Below are 25,189 nucleotides of genomic sequence, written 5' to 3'. Positions count from 1 at the left end.
ACATTCATAAAACCTATCTGGAAAACAATTTATATTCAAGGATACAGTATAAAAATAACTTTTTAACTTTTAGTCATCTCAAATAATATCAGTAGAATTTTCTATTTGGCCGCCTTTTTATCCTAGCTTTTTGTGTACATTCCAAAGGTATTCTTGACCTCCATTCACTTTGGTTGCCAAGGTTCTTTTAGCTACATGTATGAGTCATTGGTAGTGTTTCTACAGACATCTTCTCAGTGCCCCTGCACACACATACTGAACACACATTTGCAGTTAGGTCACCTCCTTTGGCCACATCACTGTTTTAGAAGTATTACTTTTGTATCAATTGCATTTGCAGTTTTATGTTGTTTTTGTAATTCATTATATATAACTACAGTCTCTATAGACCAGTTGTCTAGAAGATATTCTGACAAACAGCGGTAACAGTAGGATATTTGAAACAGAAATATTAAAGGAAAAGAAATATAAATTGGGAGCAATGATCCATAAATTAATTAAACCTCATCTGAAAAGATTACTGACCTAATAGTATCACCATAAGCTTTAATTCTAAAGGTAGTGTTAATACAATAAAGTCTTGTAAAGTTGTATTCATATTTTAGAATAAAGGATTTGGAAATTCTCAGGTCAAGGAGACGTGGGGTCAATTTAGGAAATAAAAATGGCTGTAGATCACAACTTGGCAGTCAGCTCTGCTGACTTTTTCCTTTTTGTTTGAATAGAACAGCTGATGCTGTTAAAGTGTACTCTCTATTTATATAACTAAGCACACTGACCTAACTCTGCTAGAGGTAGTCAGTCATTTTTTACAGTGGAAAGGTAGATAGCTGTGTCAAGAATTTTATTTAGTAGGTCTATTCATCTCACTCTTTGCACTTAAGCTAAAATTTGAACTGAAGTAGTTTTATGAATCATTGATACCAGTCATATTAGATAAAAATATTCTTTTTTTTTAGCCAAATAAATAGATATGCCATTTAGCTTTCCCACTGATTCAGGAAGCATTATCTTTGTGTTTTGGATTCATTAGCTCTTTAAGCTAAGCTAAATGTTTCATATGAATTTTCACATTCTTCCCTTGAGCAAGACTAAGAAAACTTGTTCATTGTCCACTGGAGAAACTGAATCTTTAAATAACCAAATAAAATTAGGAGAATACCAGCACCTTACTATATGCAGTTCATCTGCCAAGGAACGTAATCATGAGAAGGGTTTTAATAAGTGGTCTTTCTCACCTGAATTTGGCACTCAACTGTACTAAGTATTGGTTCAGGATCATTGCTATTAATCTATGTAAACATTAATGTATAAACAGAGTTCCTGTCAGTGTTACCTTGTAGTTTGTAATTTATTTTTGATAAAATGAAATAATAATATCAGTTCTTAGAAAACAGTTCTCCAATTCAAATCATAACAATGATATGGGTTTCATCTTGCCTCTGGGATTTCATAAATTGAGATAGTATTTGTATTTATAATTACATTGAGTCTGTATACAAGTATTAGAGGAATTCAGCATCATATTGAGATCAAAAGAAATGTCCAGTTGATCGTTTAACCCAAAGTGCTTAGCTTTATTACCTTAATAAATACATTATTTAAGTTTCTGCTTAATTTTGCTGGTGTGGATCTGGCCAAAAATGTCATAACCATAGCCCATTAGGACTCATTTGTGTTCTCTGTAAGACCCAGACAGCCTTCTGGAGACTAACCCTTTTAATATTGAATGATATCAGAAACCTTTAAGACTAGAAGACACTTTGAAAGATTGCCTAGGCCCCATCATTTTTACTGGGACAAGTGGTAGATAAAATGGTCTTAAGTGATTTTAAATTATTTATTATGCTGATGATCTGTTTGTGTGGGAATCTCTCCATTTATCAGTGCATGGTCCTCAAGAAAGACCCTATATGTGAATAATTATGCTCTCTTATTTTTACTTTAGAATTGCTGTGGCTCTCAGTAGCTTGGTAGGGAATGTGTTTATTGTCCAGCTCTGTTGAAACCAAAATTTACCTATATCTAACATTCTATAACTAACATCCAAGAACTCACAATTACTATCAGTTAAATAATCTGACCAAAACTGTATCCCATCTACAAAACCATGTCATATCTACAAAACTGTGTCTTCCACACACATACTTTTCAACCTTCTCTTTTCTGTAGACAACATTGTGATCAGTGAGACACCACACTTTTTGACATATTCTTAAAGGCATACCCCCATACATACTTCTGCATGCGAGCACTTGCTCTACCCATTGCTGCTGGCTGTCCCAGCTATAGTGCATCTAACACCAGCACCTAGACTTACATTGTTTTATGGTGGTATATGATTCCTTGAATACCATGTCACATGCCTCCCATACCAAGGCAGTGCACATTCTGCCCCATCCCCAAGGACTAACCTGGCAGGGACAGCTTCTGTGTCCTCTCCAATGTAAAGAAACATGGAGTTGCTGGAGGAGGGGATTAAACACTGTGGTAACCCGGTCAAAGGAAGAAATGAGGTAAACTAACAACAAAGTTTTTCTTTCTGGCGTCTTTGAATGGGAAAAGGCAGACAAGGCCAGCTGTTCTCAAAGAAAGATAAAAGAAAGCAAAAGTAGTCAGAGATTAATGGTTCCTCAGTCTGGAGCACCTTAGAAAGCCAAGATTTAAAGGCCCATTTTCCTTCAGCTCTTCTAATTAGTTTCCATTGAGAAATCATGTCCCCAGTCTGTGTAATACTTTTGAATTGTGTCTAGGCTGTTTCTTCATTCAGCAAATATTTATTGAATCCCTTCTCTTTACCTGACTTCCATGTGCTTCTCTTTTTGAACTAGCCATGTTCAAGAGATTTGAATGCACCAGAGTCAAAATGCTGTTTCCTACCCTTTATATGAATCTTGTTATGCTATAATGTAGGCCCATTTATCTTACTTAATACAATAACTATCAAGAAAAATTAGTGAAACCCAACATATATGCATGTTTTACCTAAAAAAAAAAAAACTCAGTGAAACCCAGGAAAAAAGTGAGACCCAAAATAAATACATTTTTTTAAATCTAAAAGTTCTTTTATTTCCTTTTTCTTAAAAACCTTCAACATTTAGCTCTAACCACATTTTTCTTCCCAAGCTCGTAATCATCCCAAGGGACTGGCATTGTTTTACAACTCTTCTTTTTAAAAAGCTTCCAGAGTTCATTGTTTTCTTTCTCCAAGGCAATGTGTTGACACCCTAGTGTTGACCTCTTGAGCAGCTTTCTAATTTTGTTCAGTGTTTAAAACCAAATATTATCTCTGATGATGCTATGTCAGGAAACTCAGCAGCAAACTCAGTGTCATGGAGAGTTACTAATAGTTTAAAAGCAAATGGGAGTCTGGGAGTGGTGGCTCATACCTGTAATCCCAGCACTTTCGGAGGCTGAGGCAGGCAGATCCCTTGAGGTCAGGAGTCCAAGACTAGCCTGACCGACATGGTGAAACCCTGTCTCCACTAAAAATACAAAAATTAGCTGGGCACTGTGGTACGCGCCTGTAATCCCAGCAACTCGGGAGGCTGAGGCATGAGAATCACTTGAACCCGGTGGGTGGAGATTGCAGTGAGCCGAGATTGTGCCTCTGCACTCCAGCCTGGGTGACAGAGTGAGACTTTGCTTTAAAAAAAAAAAAAAAAAAAAGCAAATGGGAGTCCCAATAAAGCATAATTACCATCATGGAAGCACTGTGGTAACAACTGCCCATCCTATATAAGAAAAAAAGTTTTCTTCTTACAACTAACTGGTGTTTTCAAAATATACAATTCTTTAGGCCAAAAATTGTTGAAATAGTCATTTCCATTTTTAATCAATTTCCAGTAAAACAGCTACTTCCATTGATTTAAGGTGTTATCCAACAGCTGTCATCATTAGCTCTTAATTAGCAGTTAACAGTACAAACTGCACTCCTCGCCAGGGGTGTGGGTGTGCCTAGAGTCAGTGATGTGTAGCAGTAGTTCTTTCCACACTGTATACATGTGAAGACCGTCCTTTGGTTTGTGGCTGTAGCCACAGTTTGCAGGACCTGTCGCTGTATGCCGCAATGCCTCTCCGCCTCATAACCCATCCAGCACCATTGTTCAGAGTCACCCACTTCCTCCTGATGGGTACATGTCCATATGGTCCATCTGCTTATGTTTCCCAGCATTCTTGTGCAGCACCTGTTGAAGTTGGGCTCCTGTATGCCCTTGTGTCATTTCTGTCACCATCCTGTTTCCAGTATCTCACTTCAGCTCACCATTCACCACGAGCTTGGATCTCTTGCTGCATTTCATCCTTCTTACACATCTAGGAAAGTGGAGCCCTTTACAACAAGCAGATTCTATGGCTATGAGACTGTGTGTGGAGACTTCATCCTTCTTGAATTCCTTTTTACTTTTCCTGATTACTAGGTAGTAGTAATGAGGATGTTTGCAAAAGTCTCAATTAAGGACAAAGTTGTTGGCACCCTTATTACTTGAATGGTGATTCATGTTTGATGACCTGGATATCGTGGTCTCAGCTAATTTATAGAATCACTTGATTAATGAGCTCTCTGTGTGGGTCTTCTATAAATATGTACATTAGTGAATAGTATGATGACTGATTACCCAGATTCAACTATTCTTAAGTTCTGTTTGATCACTGAAAACCTTCTTTTCTGTGTGGGATTTCCTAAGGCAGATGATCTCATGGTACTGATCTTCTTGGTATCTACATGTAATTTATATTTCAGGACTTGTCTTGCATACATTTCTCACTTCCAGAAAAATCTGCAAATTAAGAAACTCTTGGGTATTTTATTGAGGGACTTTTGATAATTATGTCATTCCATTAGGTTAAAAATGTCTTAGAGGAAACTGTAGTGTAGTGTATAATAACTTCTTTCAGGTTTCTAATCCAAAATTTGATTTTACAACAAGTTTACTTAGAAAAATTACTGGGGGGAGGAGCCAAGATGGCCAAATAGGAACAACTCTGGTCTACAGCTCCCAGCTTGAGCGACGCAGAAGACGGGTGATTTCTGCATTTCCATCTGAGGTACCGGGTTCATCTCACTAGGGAGTGCCACACAGTGGGCGCAGGTCAGTGGGTGCGCGCACCGTGCGTGAGCCGAAGCAGGGCAAGGCATTGCCTCACTTGGGAAGCGCAAGGGGTCAGGGAGTTCCCTTTCTGAGTCAAAGAAAGGGGTTACAGACGGGACCTGGAAAATCGGGTCACTCCTACCGGAATACTGCGCTTTTCCGACGGGCTTAAAAAACGGCGCACCAGGAGATTATATCCCGCACCTGGCTCGGAGGGTCCTACGCCCACGGAGTCTCCCTGATTGCTAGCACAGCAGTCTGAGATCAAACTGCAAGGCGGCAGCGAGGCTGGGGGAGGGGCGCCCGCCATTGCCCAGGCTTCCTTAGGTAAACAAAGCAGCCGGGAAGCTCGAACTGGGTGGAGCCCACCACAGCTCAAGGAGGCCTGCCTGCCTCTGTAGGCTCCACCTCTGGGGGCAGGACACAGACAAACAAAAAGACAGCAGTAATCTCTGCAGACTTAAATGTCCCTGTCTGACAGCTTTGAAGAGAGCAGTGGTTCTCCCAGCACGCAGCTGGAGATCTGAGAACAGGCAGACTGCCTCCTCAAGTGGGTCCCTGACCCCTGACCCCCGAGCAGCCTAACTGGGAGGCACCCCCCAGCAGGGGCACACTGACACCTCACACGGCAGGGTACTCCAACAGACCTGCAGCTGAGGGTCCTCTCTGTTAGAAGGAAAACTAACAAACAGAAAGGACTTCCACACCAGAAGTCCATCTGTATATCACCATCATCAAAGACCAAAAGTAGATAAAACCACAAAGTTGGGGAAAAAACAGAAAAGAAAAACTGGAAACTCTAAAAAGCAGAGTGCCTCTCCTCCTCCAAAGGAACGCAGTTCCTCACCAGCAACGGAACAAAGCTGGATGGAGAATGACTTTGACGAGCTGAGAGAAGGCTTCAGATGATCAAATTACTCTGAGCTACGGGAGGACATTCAAACCAAAGGCAAAGAAGTTGAAAACTTTGAAAAAAATTTAGAAGAAGGTATAACTAGAATAACCAATACAGAGAAGTGCTTAAAGGAGCTGATGGAGCTGAAAACCAAGGCTCAAGAACTACGTGAAGAATGCAGAAGCCTCAGGAGCCGATGCGATCAACTGGAAGAAAGGGTGTCAGTGATGGAAGATGAAATGAATGAAATGAAGCAAGAAGGGAAGTTTAGAGAAAAAAGAATAAAAAGAAATGAGCAAAGCCTCCAAGAAATATGGGACTATGTGAAAAGACCAAATCTACGTCTGATTGGTGTACCTGAAAGTGATGGGGAGAATGGAACCAAGTTGGAAAACACTCTGCAGGATATTATCCAGGAGAACTTCCCCAATCTGGCAAGGCAGGCCAACGTTCAGATTCAGGAAATACAGAGAACACCACAAAGATACTCCTCGAGAAGAGCAACTCCAAGACACATAATTGTCAGATTCACCAAAGTTGAAATGAAGGAAAAAATGTTAAGGGCAGCCAGAGAGAAAGGTCGGGTCACCCTCAAAGGGAAGCCCATCAGACTAACAGCTGATCTCTCGGCAGAAACCCTACAAGCCAGAAGAGAGTAGGGGCCAATATTCAACATTCTTAAAGAAAAGAATTTTCAACCCAGAATTTCATATCCAGCCAAACTAAGCTTCATAAGTGAAGGAGAAATAAAATACTTTACAGACAAGCAAATGCTGAGAGATTTTGTCACCACCAGGCCTGCCTTACAAGAGTTCCTGAAGGAAGCACTAAACATGGAAAGGAACAACCGGTACCAGCCACTGCAAAATCATGCCTAAATGTAAAGACCATCGAGACTAGGAAGAAACTGCATCAACTAACGAGCAAAATAACCAGCTAACATCATAATGACAGGATCAAATTCACACATAACAATATTCACTTTAAATGTAAATGGACTAAATGCTCCAATTAAAAGACACAGACTGGCAAATTGGATAAAGAGTCAAGACCCATCAGTGTGCTGTATTCAGGAAACCCATCTCACGTGCAGAGACACACATAGGCTCAAAATAAAAGGATGGAGGAAGATCTACCAAGCAAATGGAAAACAAAAAAAGGCAGGGGTTGCAATCCTAGTCTCTGATAAAACAGACTTTAAACCAACAAAGATCAAAAGAGACAAAGAAGGCCATTACATAATGGTAAAGGGATCAATTCAACAAGAAGAGCTAACTATCCTAAATATATATGCACCCAATACAGGAGCACCCAGATTCATAAAGCAAGTCCTGAGTGACCTACAAAGAAACTTAGACTCCCACACATTAATAATGGGAGACTTTAACACCCCACTCTCAACATTAGACAGATCAACGAGACAGAAAGTCAACAAGGATAACCAGGAATTGAACTCAGCTCTGCACCAAGTGGACCTAATAGACATCTACAGAACTCTCCACCCCAAATCAACAGAATATACATTTTTTTCAGCACCACACCACACCTATTCCAAAATTGACCACATAGTTGGAAGTGAAGCTCTCCTCAGCAAATGTAAAAGAACAGAAATTATAACAAACTATCTCTCAGACCACAGTGCAATCAAACTCGATCTCAGGATTAAGAATCTCACTCAAAACCGCTCAACTACATGGAAACTGAACAACCTGCTCCTGAATGACTACTGGGTACATAGTGAAATGAAGGCAGAAATAAAGATGTTCTTTGAAACCAACGAGAACAAAGACACAACATACCAGAATCTCTGGGACACATTCAAAGCAGTGTGTAGAGGGAAATTTATAGCACTAAATGCCAAAAAGAGAAAGCAGGAAAGATCCAAAATTGACACCCTAACATCACAATTAAAAGAACTAGAAAAGCAAGAGCAAACACATTCAAAAGCTAGCAGAAGGCAAGAAATAACTAAAATCAGAGCAGAACTGAAGGAAATAGAGACACAAAAAACCCTTTAAAAAATTAATGAATCCAGGAGCTGGTTTTTTGAAAGGATCAACAAAATTGATAGACCGCTAGGAAGACTAATAAAGAAAAAAAGAGAGAAGAATCAAATAGACGCAATAAAAAATGATAAAGGGGATATCACCACCGATCCCACAGAAATAGAAACTACCATCAGAGAATACTACAAACAGCTCTACGCAAATAAACTAGAAAATCTAGAAGAAATGGATAAATTCCTGGACACATACACCCTCCCAAGACTAAACCAGGAAGAAGTTGAATCTCTGAATAGACCAATAACAGGCTCTGAAATTGTGGCAATAATCAATAGTTTACCAACCAAAAAGAGTCCAGGACCAGATGGATTCACAGCCGAATTCTACCAGAGGTACGAGGAGGAACTGGTACCATTCCTTCTGAAACTATTCCAATCAATAGAAAAAGAGGGAATCCTCCCTAACTCATTTTGAGGCCAACATCATTCTGATACCAAAGCCAGGCAGAGACACAACAAAAAAAGAGAATTTTAGACCAATATCCTTGATGAACATTGATGCAAAAATCCTCAATAAAATACTGGCAAAACGAATCCAGCAGCACGTCAAAAAGCTTATCCACCATGATCAAGTGGGCTTCATCCCTGGGATGCAAGGCTGGTTCAATATACGCAAATCAATAAATGTAATCCAGCATATACACAGAGCCAAAGACAAAAACCACATGATTATCTCAATAGATGCAGAAAAAGCCTTTGACAAAATTCAACAACCCTTCATGCTAAAAACTCTCAATAAATTAGGTATTGATGGGACGTATTTCAAAATAATAAGAGCTATCTATGACAAACCCACAGCCAATATCATACTGAATGGGCAAAAACTGGAAGCATTCCCTTTGAAACCTGGCACAAGACAGGGATGCCCTCTCTCACCACTCCTATTCAACATAGTGTTGGAAGTTCTGGCCAGGGCAATCAGGCAGGAGAAGGAAATAAAGGGTATTCAATTAGGAAAAGAGGAAGTCAAATTGTCCCTGTTTGCAGACGACATGATTGTATATCTAGAAAACCCCATTGTCTCAGCCCAAAATCTCCTTAAGCTGATAAGCAACTTCAGCAAAGTCTCAGGATACAAAATCAATGTACAAAAATCACAAGCATTCTTATACACCAACAACAGACAAACAGAGAGCCAAATCCTGAGTGAACTCCCATTCACAATTGCTTCAAAGAGAATAAAATACCTAGGAATCCAACTTACAAGGGATGTGAAGGACCTCTTCAAGGAGAACTACAAACCACTGCTCAAGGAAATAAAAGAGGATACAAACAAATGGAAGAACATTCCATGCTCATGGGTAGGAAGAATCAATATCGTGAAAATGACCATACTGCCCAAGGTAATTTACAGATTCAATGCCATCCTCATGAAGCTACCAATGCCTTTCTTCACAGAATTGGAAAAAACTACTTTAAAGTTCATATGAACCAAAACAGAGCCCGCATCGCCAAGTCAGTCCTAAGCCAAGAGAACAAAGCTGGAGGCATCACACTACCTGACTTCAAACTATACTACAAGGCTACAGTAACCAAAACAGCGTGGTACTGGTACCAAAACAGAGATATAGATCAATGGAACAGAACAGAGCCCTCAGAAATAACGCCGCATATCTACAACTATCTGATCTTTGACAAACCTGAGAAAAACAAGCAATGGGGAAAGGATTCCCTATTGAATAAATGGTGCTGGGAAAACTGGCTAGCCATATGTAGAAAGCTGAAACTGGATCCCTTCCTTACACCTTGTACAAAAATCAATTCAAGATGGATTAAAGACTTAAACGTTAGACCTAAAACCATAAAACCCCTAGAAGAAAACCTAGGCATTACCATTCACGACATAAGCATGGGCAAGGACTTCATGTCTAAAACACCAAAAGCAATGGCAACAAAAGCCAAAATTGACAAATGGGATCTAATTAAACTAAAGAGCTTCTGCACAGCAAAAGAAACTACCATCAGAGTGAACAGGCAACCTACAAAATGGGAGAAAATTTTCGCAACCTTCTCATCTGACAAAGGGCTAATATCCAGAATCTACAATGAACTCAAACACATTTACAAGAAAAAAACAAACAACCCCATCAAAAAGTGGGCAAAGGATATGAACAGACACTTCTCAAAAGAAGACATTTATGCAGCCAAAAAACACATGAAAAAATGCTCATCATCACTGGCCATCAGAGAAATGCAAATCAAAACCACAATGAGATACCATCTCACACCAGTTAGAATGGCAATCATTAAAAAGTCAGGAAACAACAGGTGCTGGAGAGGATGTGGAGAAATAGGAACACTTTTACACTGTTGGTGGGACTGTAAACTAGTTCAACCATTGTGGAAGTCAGTGTGGCGATTCCTCAGGGATCTAGAACTGGAAATACCATTTGACCCAGCCATCCCATTACTGGGTGTATACCCAAAGGACTATAAATCATGCTGCTATAAAGACACATGCACACGTATGTTTATTGCGGCATTATTCACAATAGCAAAGACTTGGAACCAACCCAAATGTCCAACAATGATAGACTGGATTAAGAAAATGTGGCACATATACACCATGGAATTCTTTGCAGCCATAAAAAAATGATGAGTTCATGTCCTTTGTAGGGACATGGATGAAATTGGAAATCATCATTCTCAGTAAACTATCGCAAGAACAAAAAAACCAAACACCGCATATTCTCACTCATAGGTGGGAATTGAACTATGAGATCACATAGACACAGGAAGGGGACTATCACACTCTGGGGACTGTTGTGGGGTGGGGGGAGGGGGGAGGGATAGCATCGGGAGATATACCTAATGCTAGATGACGAGTTAGTGGGTGCAGCGCACCAGCATGGCACATGTATACATATGTAACTAACCTGCACGATGTGCACATGTACCCTAAAACTTAAAGTATAATAAAAAAAAAAGAAAAATTACTGTCCGCATATACTACCTGCTGATTTTTTAAGTGTTGTATCAGAATTAGTAACTTATATGACTGATGCAGAATTTATTCTATTCCACCACTAATGTAACACAGTTTCATTTTCTCTATTTTTATATATTTCTTCTATTTTACCTCTATACTCAATTTTTCTCTTTATTGCTTGAGTCCTGCCAAGTTATCCTAAGTTTTCAGTGATAACCTCAAGCTTGTTTAGCTCTGCTAACAAAATACAGGGTCAAACTGTTGCCAACCCCATTTTAAAACAAGGTCCAAAATCAAGACAAATGGAACCAACAAACAAAAACATGTAACTTCTCATTTTAACATTAGGAAAACATCAGCTCACTCTATAGTAATAAAGTTTTTCTGCTCAAAATTTCTATAAATAGCTTTTCTTGTGAGTTTGTGAAACCCTGTAATGAGTTTTAGAACTATCCACAGCAAAAATAATGTAGCATTGTTTTATAAAAAACTACATAAACTCTAAAGGCATATATATGTTGTAAGATTTCTTCCATCAGATTCTAAACTTTGATTGAGCTATCAATCAGTTTTTAAACTGTGAATTCACTTTAAGAATTAACTTTAAGAATTCAGAGTTTAAAAACCTGACATTTACCCACTTATACCTACTGTTCCATTATCGAAACGCTAAGCATGTGAGAGTTATTTATATCCTACTGCTCAAGGTCATCGCTAAGGTCTGATTTTCCACTCACGCAAAAATTCAAAAAATTGCAACCTCCAGCATAAATGGGTTAACTATTCATAGATATTACTTTATGTGGGAGTTAAAAATACAAGAGGTAATCAGACTCACACTTTGTGTAATCAAAAATTTCATAGTTATCCAAATATAATTTACTTTATAATATAGTTACATAAATGTTGATTATAAAACTTTCTCATTTTTGTTCATGTATCTATTTTTTTCCCATTACCTAACAAAAATTGTCCAATTTAATAAGCTACTAAATCTAAGGTTTGTGTAAATTTTAAAATATTATTCCTTCTATCTTCTTTATTTTTTCAGATTATGGCTTTATCACTTTTTTTAAGTGATGTAAAATATAAAATGTCAGCAAGGATCTGATTTGAATCTGAAATCTATATTTGAGCAAGTTACATAATTTACCTGTGGCTCAGGTTTCCTCATAACAGCAGAATGTAGATATTGAAATCAATAATACAGACTTTTAAGCTCTTTTTCTACTCTACTGTGATGCAATACTATTAATAGATTATTGTAAGATCTCTTTATATAAAATGATACATTCTAATACATATTATTATAAAACAATTAGATGTTAATAATATAAACTATTCAAGCAGTCACAGAAAGACATTTAACTCAAAGTTTAAAGAAACAATACACTGCTACAGTTTTAGGAAATCTTATTAAAACTGGGAAAAAATGGTGTTCACCAACCTGAATATCCAAAATGTTATCAATAGCACTATAGGACTATAAAGTTACTACTTTAAACACATTCCAGTGAGAATTATTATGAGGTCAAATTTTATGTTTCTAAAGTTTCCATACAAAATTTCTTTAATATCTAAAATTAAATTAATATTTGAGCTCATTCATTTCTATATAGAAGTTAAATCCTAATTATTTGCTATGTTTTTCTTAACTATGAATTTTATGTAATTCTGAAATTATTTATTAGAGTAAAATAATTGCTTGAGTGAAATAATGTCTCCTTTGCTGAGTTTGTATTATTTTATACCAATAAATATATCTATAAATTATGTAAAGTTATATGTCTATATCATGATTCTTTTTGTGAGTAAGTGGAGTGGCCCTAATTTTATTTTCTGCTATGGATTTCTGCTATAACCCCCTTGATTTGGTCAGGAGGAATTAGGTCTAAAGTATTTAAGAAATTAATCTCAATCCTGTGCAATTTTAATATCCCACCAGGTTACAGGTGATTTTATCTCAAGCTAATATGATAGATGATAAAGTAAGGAAAAGCAAGATATTAGCAAGTGAAAGCAGAGAAGACATTATTCAGTGAGGAGCTTAATGAAAGAGCTTGTGTAGAAATAAAGAATTTTTATTTTTCACATCCGAAACAGTGGTATTTTCACTTTTCAATTTAGTGCAACAAATATTTTATGAACACCTGTAATGTATAGTCTTCTAACTAGACTCTAGAAGATTTAGAAAAGAAAGATGATTCTACAAGATAATGTTGCAGGCAAAGACACAAATGATTGAGAGAGTTTCAAACGGACTGGGCTAATTCTGAGTGGATTATAGGGACTGTATTCTAGTATAAATCAATAGAGAGTGAATCGTGATCAATAGCACTTAACTAAACTACAATAGTTGTGTTCAGTCCAGGGAGGGAAACTCAACAAGGCAGCTTTCCTAAACATTTCCAAGCTTTGTTGTTATATTAAAAAATAATTTAACAGCATTGGCTATCATGTAAGTATAGCATCAGGAAGCAGAGATTGGGTATAAGAAAAACATAAACATGCCAAGGATTCAGGCTTAATATTCTTGTACTTGGAGGTATTTTTGGCCATAAAGTAAAAATGCAATCAATGTATTGGATAGATGTAATGGCACACATTTTCTGTCTGTGTCTTTGCTGTGAGTTTTCCTTTCCAAAGTTCTGCAATATATTAAAACTGAAATATTGAGTTTTCTTAATAGTTCTGAGGTAAGAAAAGATTATAATCACCCAAGCCCAGTGGCTCATACCCGTAATCCCAACATTTTGGGATGCTGAGGCCAGAGGATCTTTTGAGGCCAGGAGTTTGAGACCAGCCTCGGCAATATAACAAGACCCCATCTCTACAAAAAAAGAATTTATAAAAATTAGGCATGGTGGCACACACCTGTAGTCCCACCTACTCGAGAGGCTGAGGCAAGAGGAGGCCAGGAGTTCAATACCACAGCGAGCTATGACTGCACTACTGCACTCACTCCAGCCTGGATGACAGAGCTAGACTCTGTCTCTTAAAAAAAAAAAAATCAAAGGAGGAACTACTTAATCTCTTTTTTGTGACTTTCTTCTGAAAATTGAGTTTATAGAAAGCTGGTCTAATCTGAGAGAGTTCATTCACTCTTCATATCTCTTCACCAATGGTCATTCTGAAAGGACTCCTCAAAGATAAAACTCCTGAACTTAGCTTTAAAGGGGAAGGTACTATTAACCAGGTGAAGAAGGTGCGAGAGGAGAAACATTACCAATAGAAGGCACAGAAACAAAGCATGGTATGTCTGAGGTATTGCAGGCAGTCAGGATATTACTGAAGAATGAAATGCAAGTTGGAGAGTGGTAGCAGATCAAGCTTGAGAGGAGGGAAGGTGCTAGTTATGGGAGCATTGAGCCATATGAAGGAGCTTGAGCTGATCTAATATTAAGAGATGAGAGGCATACATCATAGACAAGGATGATTCTGCAAGATAATGTACCAAGCACCTGAGGAATATCAGAAAGTTTTAAGCAGAGGAAAGATGTGGTAAGATGTCCATAGGTAGAACACTCTGGTGATTCTGTGGCATATGTATTTGAAGGCTATAAGACCAAAGATGGTTAGACCAGTTTTAAGACTATGTCTAAAGGGAGATACATGGTCAAGGGAGGGTTGAGTTTTGTTTTGTTTATGTTTTAGGATGAATGAGTCTAGATCAAGTTTGTAGGCTAATGATAAAGGACAAGTAGGCATGAAGAAATTTGCTGATCATTTTTACATTTATTTAGTAAGTTACTCTTTCAGCAAATATTTAGTGAGGGACTATTGAGTGCCAAGCCCTGTTAAAAGCGCTGGATATTCAGAGGCAACAACATAGATAGGATTTCAACTTTCATGAAAGTTAGATTTTAGTGGGCAGAAATAGCTAATAAACAAGGCTCATAGTTTCTACCAAAGACTTACCCTTGGGATAAAAATGATCACAGAGTAGCTAAAGACTTTACCTTACATTATCCTGATTAAAAACTCCATTTGTTAAGTAGGTCTTATTAACCCAGTCTTTCAAAAGAACAATCTGAAGCTTAGAGAGGTTAAATCATATAACCACTAAGTGCTTTAACAGGAGCTGGGATCATGCTTTGAACCACTGCACTGAACCACGTGGGGATTTATGGAATCCCTCAGCCCTCACATTACTCCAATATTATATCGTATGCATTTAATAATATGTAAAAGTATTCCAGAAAGGTTAGTGGCAAAGACACTTGCCAGGGAGGTTTTCTATCAAACATGAAGACTTCCAAGTTAGGTAGCACAGTCTAATCTTACATCTGCAGGAATCATCTTTTGCTCCTGGGATCAGGTATGAGGTCCTAAATAATGAGGAAAGATGAAACATAATTCAGGATAATAGCTTATCTTTTGTAAAGAGCCCCCAAAGAACCTTAAAACCATTTCTGCTTATAAAGTTTAGCTCTAAGGCTATAAAGGAATGTGTTGACTTGATTGATAACAGCATGTTATTTGTCAGTTTTTGTGAAGTTAATTCTACTGAATAGAACCAATTGGTGTCTTGCATCTATATATAAAATGCTGTACCATTGTATTTGTAAAACATTTTACCACTATGTTTTAGGGCTTTTTTAAAAAATCTCATTTAATCTGTACAGCAAGCTTGTAAAATCAAGAAATACAATAAAGAAGGGACTCAGGACATTGCAACTATGTTTGCAATGTCCTGAGATCTGGAATCATATAAGCAGAGATCTGGAATCATACTAGCCCTAATGGCCTCCTTTCAGAGAAGATCAAGCACTTTGACAGGAATTAGGGATCTAGACTCATTCTTAGAGAGAGATAGAGACATTTTAAAGCTATTCCTGGACTAGTCATCTATAAGAGAAGTGGAAAAAGGACTATAAATTGCTCTTTAGGAATTAGACATTGGGTTACTAAATTCCATGGCTGGGTAGAAGGGATGAGGCTTGTGAATATCACAATGGAACCAGGACCCAGGATGGGAGTGGGTAAGAAAGGGAAGTTTGGATAGAATGGGTATATAGGGAAAGGTCTTAGCTTGTTGTGTAAAATGTGTAATTTTCAACAAGTCTGTAATTAAATTCTTTGTTTCAGAATGCCCCACAGATTTCATGAGTCTCTCGGTATCTTCCCTACCTAACACAAAATTCAGATTCTTAGTAAAATATCCATAAAGTGACTCTGTTTACTTGACTTAACCAATTATTGCTTATATGGAAACAGACATTCTCATAGATGCACCCCTTTTTCATTTAAATAAAAATTGGGCATTTTCTTTACACCTTCCACATTAGTTCCCTTATGTATTTCTGCTTCTGATTTTGACCTTTTACTGTTTTCTCATTTTTTTATTTTTTAGAGACAGGGTCTCTCTCTGTCATCCAGGCTGGAGTGCAGTGGCTAAAACAAGAAATAATATGTGCATTAAAAAAATAAATACGGCCAGGCACGGTGGCTCACACCTATAATCCCAGCACTTTGGGAGGCTGAGGCGGGTGGATCACCTGGGGTCCGGAGTTTGAGACCAACCTGGCCAATGTGGTGAAAACCCATCTCTACTCAAAACACGAAAATTAGCCGGGTGTGGTGGTGCATGCTTGTAATCCCAGCTACTCAGGAGGCTGAGGCAAGAGAATCGCTTGAACCCGGGAGGCGGAGGTTGAAGTGAGCCGAGATTGTGCCACTGCACTCCAGCCTGCGCGACAAAAGCAAAACTCTGTCTCAAAAAAAAAAAAAGAAGCATAAGGATATAGCTGCTATCATATGTGAACAAACACAGAATGCTTCAGATGAATGTAACACATGATGTAATGCCTAACAAAGAGACCTCTATTTGAAATACTTGGATTCATTCATTTAAAAACAAGAAAAAAAGATTGAGCACCTTCTGTGTGCTGAATATAGTAAAATAGACTGAGGCTGAAAAGGCTTAGCTTTTTCCTAAGGGAGTTTTTAGTTTTATAGTATCCTCTTCAATGAAATTATATCTGCTAGTGCATTTCCCATTCCAGTGAATAGCTATTTTTTGCATTAAAATTTTATTACATGTTAAAGTTTCTTCCAGAGTACATGAGTGGATAAACTATCTTGCCTTTGAAACTCAGTGAATTAGGTAGTCTGTCTTTATTTCTTTTAAAATGGAATAGCGTAACATTTTTCCCTTGGCCAACGTTGTTGAGCAGAGTTTGCCAATCCATTATATGAAAGTGAGCAACATGTTTAGTACAAAAAGACTGATTTAAGTATTGGCATTGCTATGATTTATTTTACTGTGGTGAAACTAACTTCTCTGCCAAAGCTATATTATCCCACTGATTACATATATGTGACTACTTCAGTATCCAAAGGAAATTCTTTGCAATATGCAAATACCTTTGGATGTTTGATTTCGTCTCTTTAGATTAGAACAAAATTTAAAATCTGTGATGAGTTCTGAACATTTCCAAACTACTCAATTGTGTTTTCTTTAAAAACAAATATAAAACCTCTCTATACAACTATTTTATTTAATATAAGTTATAGATTAAGTTATATTTTTAAATGTCACCTCCAAAGAACATTTCTCTTTCATTTCTCCTCACTTCCATAGTACTATCAGTGCAGTCTGCACTACTGCATTACTCATTGCAATACTCCTGTATAGTATGTCTCAACCATTTTTAATATGTTTGTGTTCAAATGCATCTAAGAAAACTGAATTGATATGACTATGTTATATTCTAGTGCTTTTAACACACCTTCATCATCATCCTTAGTCTTTCTTTGTCTCCTCAGTTTCTTTTAATTTCTTTGTCTCCTTAGTTTTGCTTATACCCCACATGCGGTCTCAGAAAATCCTACTAGTTCTTCAAAATGCACACTTTTTTTTGGAATTGACTGCTGCTCACCAACTCCATTGCCATCACTCTAACTTAAGATATAATCATCTTTTGCTGATATTATTGACATAGCTTCTTAGCCATTGACCTGCTTCTGCTTACAGTCTATTCTCAACAGAGAATAGAGTTACACTTTCAAAAATACATTAGATCATGTGCTGCTCTTGCTCTGTATTCTCCAGTGGCTGCCAAAGACATCAGAATCTATTAAAAGGCCTACCATGACCAGGGCTCCTTCAGACATGCCTTGCCTTGCCATCTGACTTAATGTCCTATTATTATATGTGCATCAGGAACACTGTTTCTGAAATGTATCAAGCAGGTTCCTGCCACAGGGCCTTGCACTTACTATTCCATGTCTGGTATGTCCTGATACACATTTCCATGTGGCTTACTGCCCTTTCTCTTTTTAAGTCTCTGACCAAATGTTATCAAAAGTTACCCTCTCTGTGAGATCTTTTACTACCTTATTTTAAATTACATCCCTCCAGACTGGGCATGGTGGTTCATGCCTGTAATCCCAGCACTTTGGGAGGCAGGCAGATCACTTGAGGCCAGGAGTTTTTGAGACCAGCCTGGCCAACATGACAAAACCCCATCTCTACTAAAAATACAACAAAATTAGCCAGGTGTGGTGGTGCATGCCTGTAATCTCAGCTACTTGGGAGGCTGAGGCACAAGAATCACTGGAACTTGGGAGGCAGAGGTTGCAGTGAACTGAGATGGCACCACTGCACTCCAGCCTGGGCAGCAGAGTGAGACTCTGTCTCAAAAAATAAAATAAAATGAAAATTTACATCCCTCCAAATCCAGCACTCCCCATTCTCCTGTTTTACTTTTCTCTTTATATTTATTATCTGAAATATCTATTTTACTTGTTTCCTGTTCCTCTTCCCCCTACTAAAATGTAAGTTTCTGTAGAGCAGAGATTTTTGTCTGTTTTGTTTATAGCCATATTCATAGTATCTAGAATAGTGTTGGGCAATAGTGGGAATAATAAATATTTAATTGGTAGAGGAAGGAAGCATAGTGGATACCAACCATGACATGTCCTAGCAGCCACTAAAATGATCGGAATTCTCCTGAAATTGTGATCAGTTTACAACTTTTTCTGTGTAGGTTTTTGTACATATAATTACCTCGCTCCATAATTTAGGAGTTAAAAACACCGAAAATGCATGTTTTAAAAGTGTCTTAGTCCATTTGTGATGCTATAACAAAATATCACAGACTGGGTAATTTATAAATAGTAGAAATTTATTTTTCACAGTTTTGGAGGCTGGAAAGTCTAAGATCAAGGTGCCAGCAGACTTGATGTCTGGTGAACGCTTGCTCTCTGCTTTAAAAATGGCACCTCTTGCTGTGTCTTCACATGGCAGAAGGAATGGAAGGGACTAGCCAATCCCTCAAGCCCTTTTTTTGTTTTTGAAGAGGAGTCTCACCCTGTCACCCAGGTTGGAGTGCAGTGGCACAATCTCAGCTCACTGCAACCTCCGCCTGCTAGGTTCAAGCAATTATCCTGCCTCAGACTCCCGAGTAGCTGGGATTACAGGCACCCGCCACCGTGCAGAGCTAATTTTTGTATTTTTAGTAGAGACAAGGTTTCACCATGTTTGCCAAGCTAGTTTCGAACTCCTGACCTCAAGTGATCCGCCCACCTTGGTCTCCCAAAGTGCTGGGATTACAGATGTGAGCCACTGCACCCGGCCCTCAAGCCCTTTTATAAGGGCACTAGTCCCCTTCTAATAACCACTCAAGGGCCCCACCTGTTAATACCATCAATGTTTGGTATTAAGGTGCAACATGGACTTTGTAGGGACGCATACATTCATATCATAGCATTAAGTCATAGGATGTTTTTTCCTATTGGAATGGAGGACGCGCTTTGGTGTCAAATATACTAGATTTGAATCCCAGCCCAGCTCTCCATTGAATATGCATTCTGACTGCTCATGTAAACCATTCTGAGTCATATGTACAATAGGGATAATAATATGTCAATGCTGGCCGGGTGCGGTAGTTCACGCCTGTAATTCTAGCACTTTGGGAGGCCGAGGCGGGCGGATTACCTGAACTCAGGAGTTCGAGACAAGCCTGGGCAACACAGTGAAACCCTGTCTCTACTAAAATACAAAAGAAATTAGCCGGTGTGGCGGCATGCACCTGTAGTCCCAGCTACTCAGGAGGCTGAGGCAGGAGAATTGCTGGAACCCGGGAGGCAGAGGTTGCAGTGAGCCAAGATCCCGCCACTGCACCCCAACCTGGGCGACAGAGTTAGACTCCATCTCTAAAACAAAAATAATAATAATATGTCAATACCTAACCATTTTTTACCTACAAAAGTAATTTCATATGGCTCAACCTGAAAATAATAATAACAATAAGAGAGCATACTCATGTTGAATAGTGATACAATCTATTAAATGCCTAGTATAATTCCTGGCCCATGATTTAAAACAGTCCATAAATCCAGAGAGAACTGTGTGTGTGTTTTTAAACATCGTTTCTATTTTCTGAAACATTTATTTTAGATAAGTAGGTATAAATGTTAAGACCCACATCCAGCCAACCTATGTGCATAAATACCCAAACTACATAAAGCTGCCCAAGTGCAGAAAACAAGTTCATTTTTGCTTTAAAATCGAAACTGATGGTTTTTTTAAAGTGTTTGTGAAGATGACGGTGTTCTTTTAACTCATTATGAATTTTAAACAATTAAAGTATTTTAGTTCACTACTTTTGGCCTCCATAGTACCATATAATAGGCACTTAATAGATTAATGAATTAATTATGAGGTTTCTACATTAATTCTGAGTTGAGACATATTTTGTACTTATTAAACATGTTTTAAGTAATAACTCAAAGTCATCCCTCATTTGAAGTAGTCCTTTTATCTCTGGATATGTTCAACTGTTTTGAAAAATTGGCTCAATTTTGCCTGTGTCTTGATTATCACTGCTGAGAGGAAAAGAAAAATATGTAGACTGATTGTTTTCCACAAAAGTAAAATGTGAATTTAAAAAGGAGCATATCTATGCAAAATTACTTAAACACTTCTCAAGCAAAATATCTCAAGAACGATAACATATAATGTCCCTTTTAGAAATTGTGATTACCCGGTTCAGTGTTTCCTCAAAAGAAACTAACTATCTTGATAGAAGTTAACAGATTAAATGTGAAAGACCTATGATTTGTTTTTGAATTGACTGTGTACAGGATCATTGGTTTCTTTATTAACATCACTGCATGTGGTTATTTACAGCATGTCTGTCTGGCAAAACACAGATGGTAAATGTTATGGAGAGAATTTGGATTTCAGGAAAAGTTGGGATAATAGACAAAAACTTATACCATTATGTGTTTTCAAATTTAAAAAGAAAGAAAAAAAAATCCTGCTCCAAATGTCATTTTTTTTACAATTGTACAATTTGAATTAGGAAATGTTTTCCACTGGAGAAAATAATGTTTTGGGGCCGTGAGTATTTTAAGTAGAGTATTTTTACTCCATGCCTAGGCCACTTCACACAGAATTATAGCATTCTGATTAAACATTGTACCACATTACACAAAGTTAAGCTACACAAAAATGTAAACATATTACTAAACAGTAAAGAAATACCTCTGGAAAGGTTAATGGTCCGTAATGACAGAAAAAATAACTTACTTCCAAAAGAGTGTTGTGATTTTTTAAGTGGTATTTTGACCAATGTAGGAAGAGTGTGAGCATATGAGATTGTATATTTAAGTCTCTCTTCAAGAAATAGAAGCTCTTCACTCATAATCTTTATAAGAAGAGAGAAGCCTAAGAAGGAACTTAGGGCTATTTAAATATATGAAGAGTTAATAAACATGAAATGTGTTTACCTGTCACTGAGAATAAAACTAACAAAAACACATTTGTTTGAGATGTGTGTAAACATCTGTACCTGAGTTGGTATTCTTTAAATCTGTACTACAATTTTGTAACAGGAGCAGTGTTGTAAGTTATTGAGGAATTTCATCATCTGGGTTAGTTAAATTAACCTCACTTCGGTAAGTGCTGTGTGGTTGTAATCTGACTATGCAAGTGCCAGCGATAACCTTTGTAGTCATTCTCAGTAGTCATCCTCTCTGAAACCTCCAAGTCAATATTTTCATGTTATCTCCAGTTTTTTTTTAATGTAAAATTCTTACTATTGTCTTAATCTCAGTTCATATAATATAAATGCAGATTTCCTAAGTGTGGAATATTAATTACTTATTAAGTAACTTGAATGGTGTCTTTGAAGACTGTTCATCTTTTGAAGGAGTCATACTCACAAATATGTATCTACTATACATTAAATTTTGAAATAAATTCATAATTTATGGTAATTTACATTTATAATACATGTTGGAATAAATGAGAATACATAATATGTTGTTGGTTCTGAAATATATGGCTCATAAATTTAATTTTTACTGCAGTTGCATTGGTTAAACTAAGAACACCTTTACTGGACCTGTAAAACTGGGCCCCAATATTCTTTTTTTTTTTTTTTTGAGACAGAGTCTCACTCTGTTGCCCAGGCTGGAGTGCAGTGGCACAATCTCGGCTCACTTCAACCTCCACCACCCACGTTCAAGCAATTCTCCTGCCTCAGCCTCCCGAGTAGCTGGGACTACAGGCACCCACCACCACACCTGGCTAATTTTTGTATTTTTAGTAGAGATAGGGCTTTACCATGGTGGCCAGGCTGGTCTCGAACTCCTGACCTCAAGTGATCCATTCACCTCAGCCTCCCAAAGTGCTGGGATTACAGGCATGGGCCACTGCACCTGGCCAACTGGGCCCCAATATTTCAACAAGAATTTTTAAATTAATTATCTAAGCTGAATTTAGAGGCAAATATCCCAGAGCTAAACTGATTATACAGTACCAATGTGAGGTATCCTTTATTAAAAAGCATGTGTTACTGTGAATCATTTAGTAATTTCTGGTATGATAGGATATTTTTAACTTCCCAAAGTAAGCTTTAACCAATGTAGTAACTAAGCACGGAAATGGCTCTTGGGCCTACGAGTCTTATCATTGCTTTCAAATGCATGACGACATTGGAAGAGTTATAGGCATTCACATGGGTACAGCCCAATGGATTCTTCTCATCTGCTGTACAGATAAGGCCAATACACTGAGACAGTGATGTTGCAGTAGAGAAACAGTTTAGTTATTGCAGGGCATCCAAGCAGGAAGACAGGACATGTTTCTGAAATCTGCCTCTCTGAGAACTTGGAGGCTTGGGTTGTTAAGGATAATTTGGCAGGCAGGGGGCTAGGGAAAGGGTGCTGCTGATTGGTTGGGAATGAAATCATAGGTGTGTCAGAACTGTCTTCATGTGCTGAGTTAGTTTCTGGGTGGGGGTTGCAGGACCGGTTGAGTCAGTTCCTTTGTATGAGTCACATACAAAGGGTGGCATCAGTTGGTTCACCAGAATGCAAAAGTCTGAAAAATATCTCAAAGACCAATCTTAGGTTTTACATTAGTAATGTTATCTATTAGGGGTAATTGAAGAAGTTATATATCTTGTGACCTCCAGGTACATGACTCCTGATCAGTAAGCAAACTAGGGAACAATAGCTGGTTATTGCTTAACTATTCATAGATCTTAGCAAATTCAAGACTCTACCATAATTCTAACCTTGTGGCCTTTTATTAGTTTTATGAAGGTAGTTTCAGTCCTGAACAAGGAGGGGGCATAATTTTGGGAAAGGCCTGTAATCATCCTTGCTTTAAAGTTAAACCGTAAAGTAAATTTCTCCCATAGTTGGCTTGGTTTACACCCAGGAATGAGCAAGGGCAGTTAGCTTGTGAGGTTAAAAGCAAGATAAAGTCAGTTATGTCACATTTATCTCGTTGTCGTAATTTTTGCAAATGCAGTTTCAGCATCACTATGTGAATGTGTGTGTGGTAAAAATGGGAAGTATAAATAATTTTCCTCCAAACCTAAATAAGTCTTGCAAGTTGTGACAGACCATTGTAAATTTACACAGATTTACAATGCTGTGCCTTTTCAGTCCAATGGTCTGACATCTGAGAAAGCTACAGTAATCATCAAAGTTGGGCATATAGGCACACATATTACGTTGAGCCCTGGCCTTTGGATCTACAATGCCATAGATGAATGCAACATACTCCTGACATATCAAGAGGTTCTATCATTTTTTCATAATTTTCCAAATTGGAAAAATTCTCCTTAATTATTTTATTTGTATTATAAACTTTTTTCCACTAGTTCCCCACTTACTGTTGACTACAGATGCTTTAGTAGTTTTAAACAATGAATGGGAGGAGACTGATTTTCCCATATGTTTTGTAAATTGGCCTTTCTTCTTCCCACTTCACTGAAGATAATCTGCCCTTGCAGATTATCTTTTATTGATTCAGGGAGCTATGGACTGGATAGTGATGGACTTTGTAATGAAAGCACAAGCTACTATTTTTGCAGCTGCTGAAGATAAGAATAAGCTAGAAAACATGAAAGTACAATGATCGGAGATGCTGCTGCATATTCCTGTGTAGTAAAAGATCTGCTTTGTTATCTGGACAGTCTCTTCCAGAAGAAGAGACTTCTTGAGTCAAAATAAGATAAGAAGTATGCAACACAAAGAAGTGAAATGACATTCTTACAGTTGAAATATTCATACTATGTTAGTTGGTAAAACTGCTTAGCTTCTACCTCATTGAGGCAACATTGGTGTGAGAAACACTGAAATATGACTGAGAGCCTACACTAGCAAGAAGATGGGGGGAAGATACCTTTAAAAAGATCACTTGGAGTTCAATAATTATGGATGCATAATAACATTTTGAGTACTCTTAATATAGTCAGCCTAGTTCTTTCTCAAAAAATAAATTCAAGGACATAACAGTTCAGTTGATACTATGGAATTTTGTTTGTTTGTTTGTTTGTTAGTTATTCAAAACCAGCAAAGGGATATGATGCTTATTTGGTAGAGAGGACATGCTCTTCAGCTCTTTCTGCCTTCTTGATCCAAGAAAGCATTCACAAATTTACCAGTTTATTTACTCAGGAAAATGTGGCTATAAATGAATTTACCCAGGAATAAACTAAATTCTATTATTTACTAAGTTCAAATAGTATACTTTTCATAAAGGGATGAAATCAGTTATTGAAAAGAAGCTAAATTAATTGTAAGCTAAACAACAGCAACTGAAATCACTGAAAGAAATTAAAACCTACTATCATGACTGTAAAGGATTTTAACCATTCTCACTTTTTATATTTCTAGCTATTAATACTGAAGGGAGGACAGAATATTAACACTTTGAAATTAACTCTCCGCCAGGCACGGTGGCTCAC

At 37.6% G+C, this 25,189-nt stretch overlaps 1 protein-coding gene across 54 annotated transcripts in view; it reads left to right on the top strand.

Annotated features, from left to right (window-relative positions):
• Positions 1-25,189, top strand: part of CAMK2D (calcium/calmodulin dependent protein kinase II delta) — a 310,707-nt gene that overhangs the window by 261,623 nt on the left and 23,895 nt on the right. The gene's annotated exons all lie outside the window — the stretch shown is intronic.

This window comes from Homo sapiens, chromosome 4 (assembly GCF_000001405.40).
Source record: "Homo sapiens chromosome 4, GRCh38.p14 Primary Assembly".
Taxonomy (NCBI): domain Eukaryota; kingdom Metazoa; phylum Chordata; class Mammalia; order Primates; family Hominidae; genus Homo; species Homo sapiens.
This window is presented reverse-complemented; position numbering and strand designations above follow the sequence as displayed.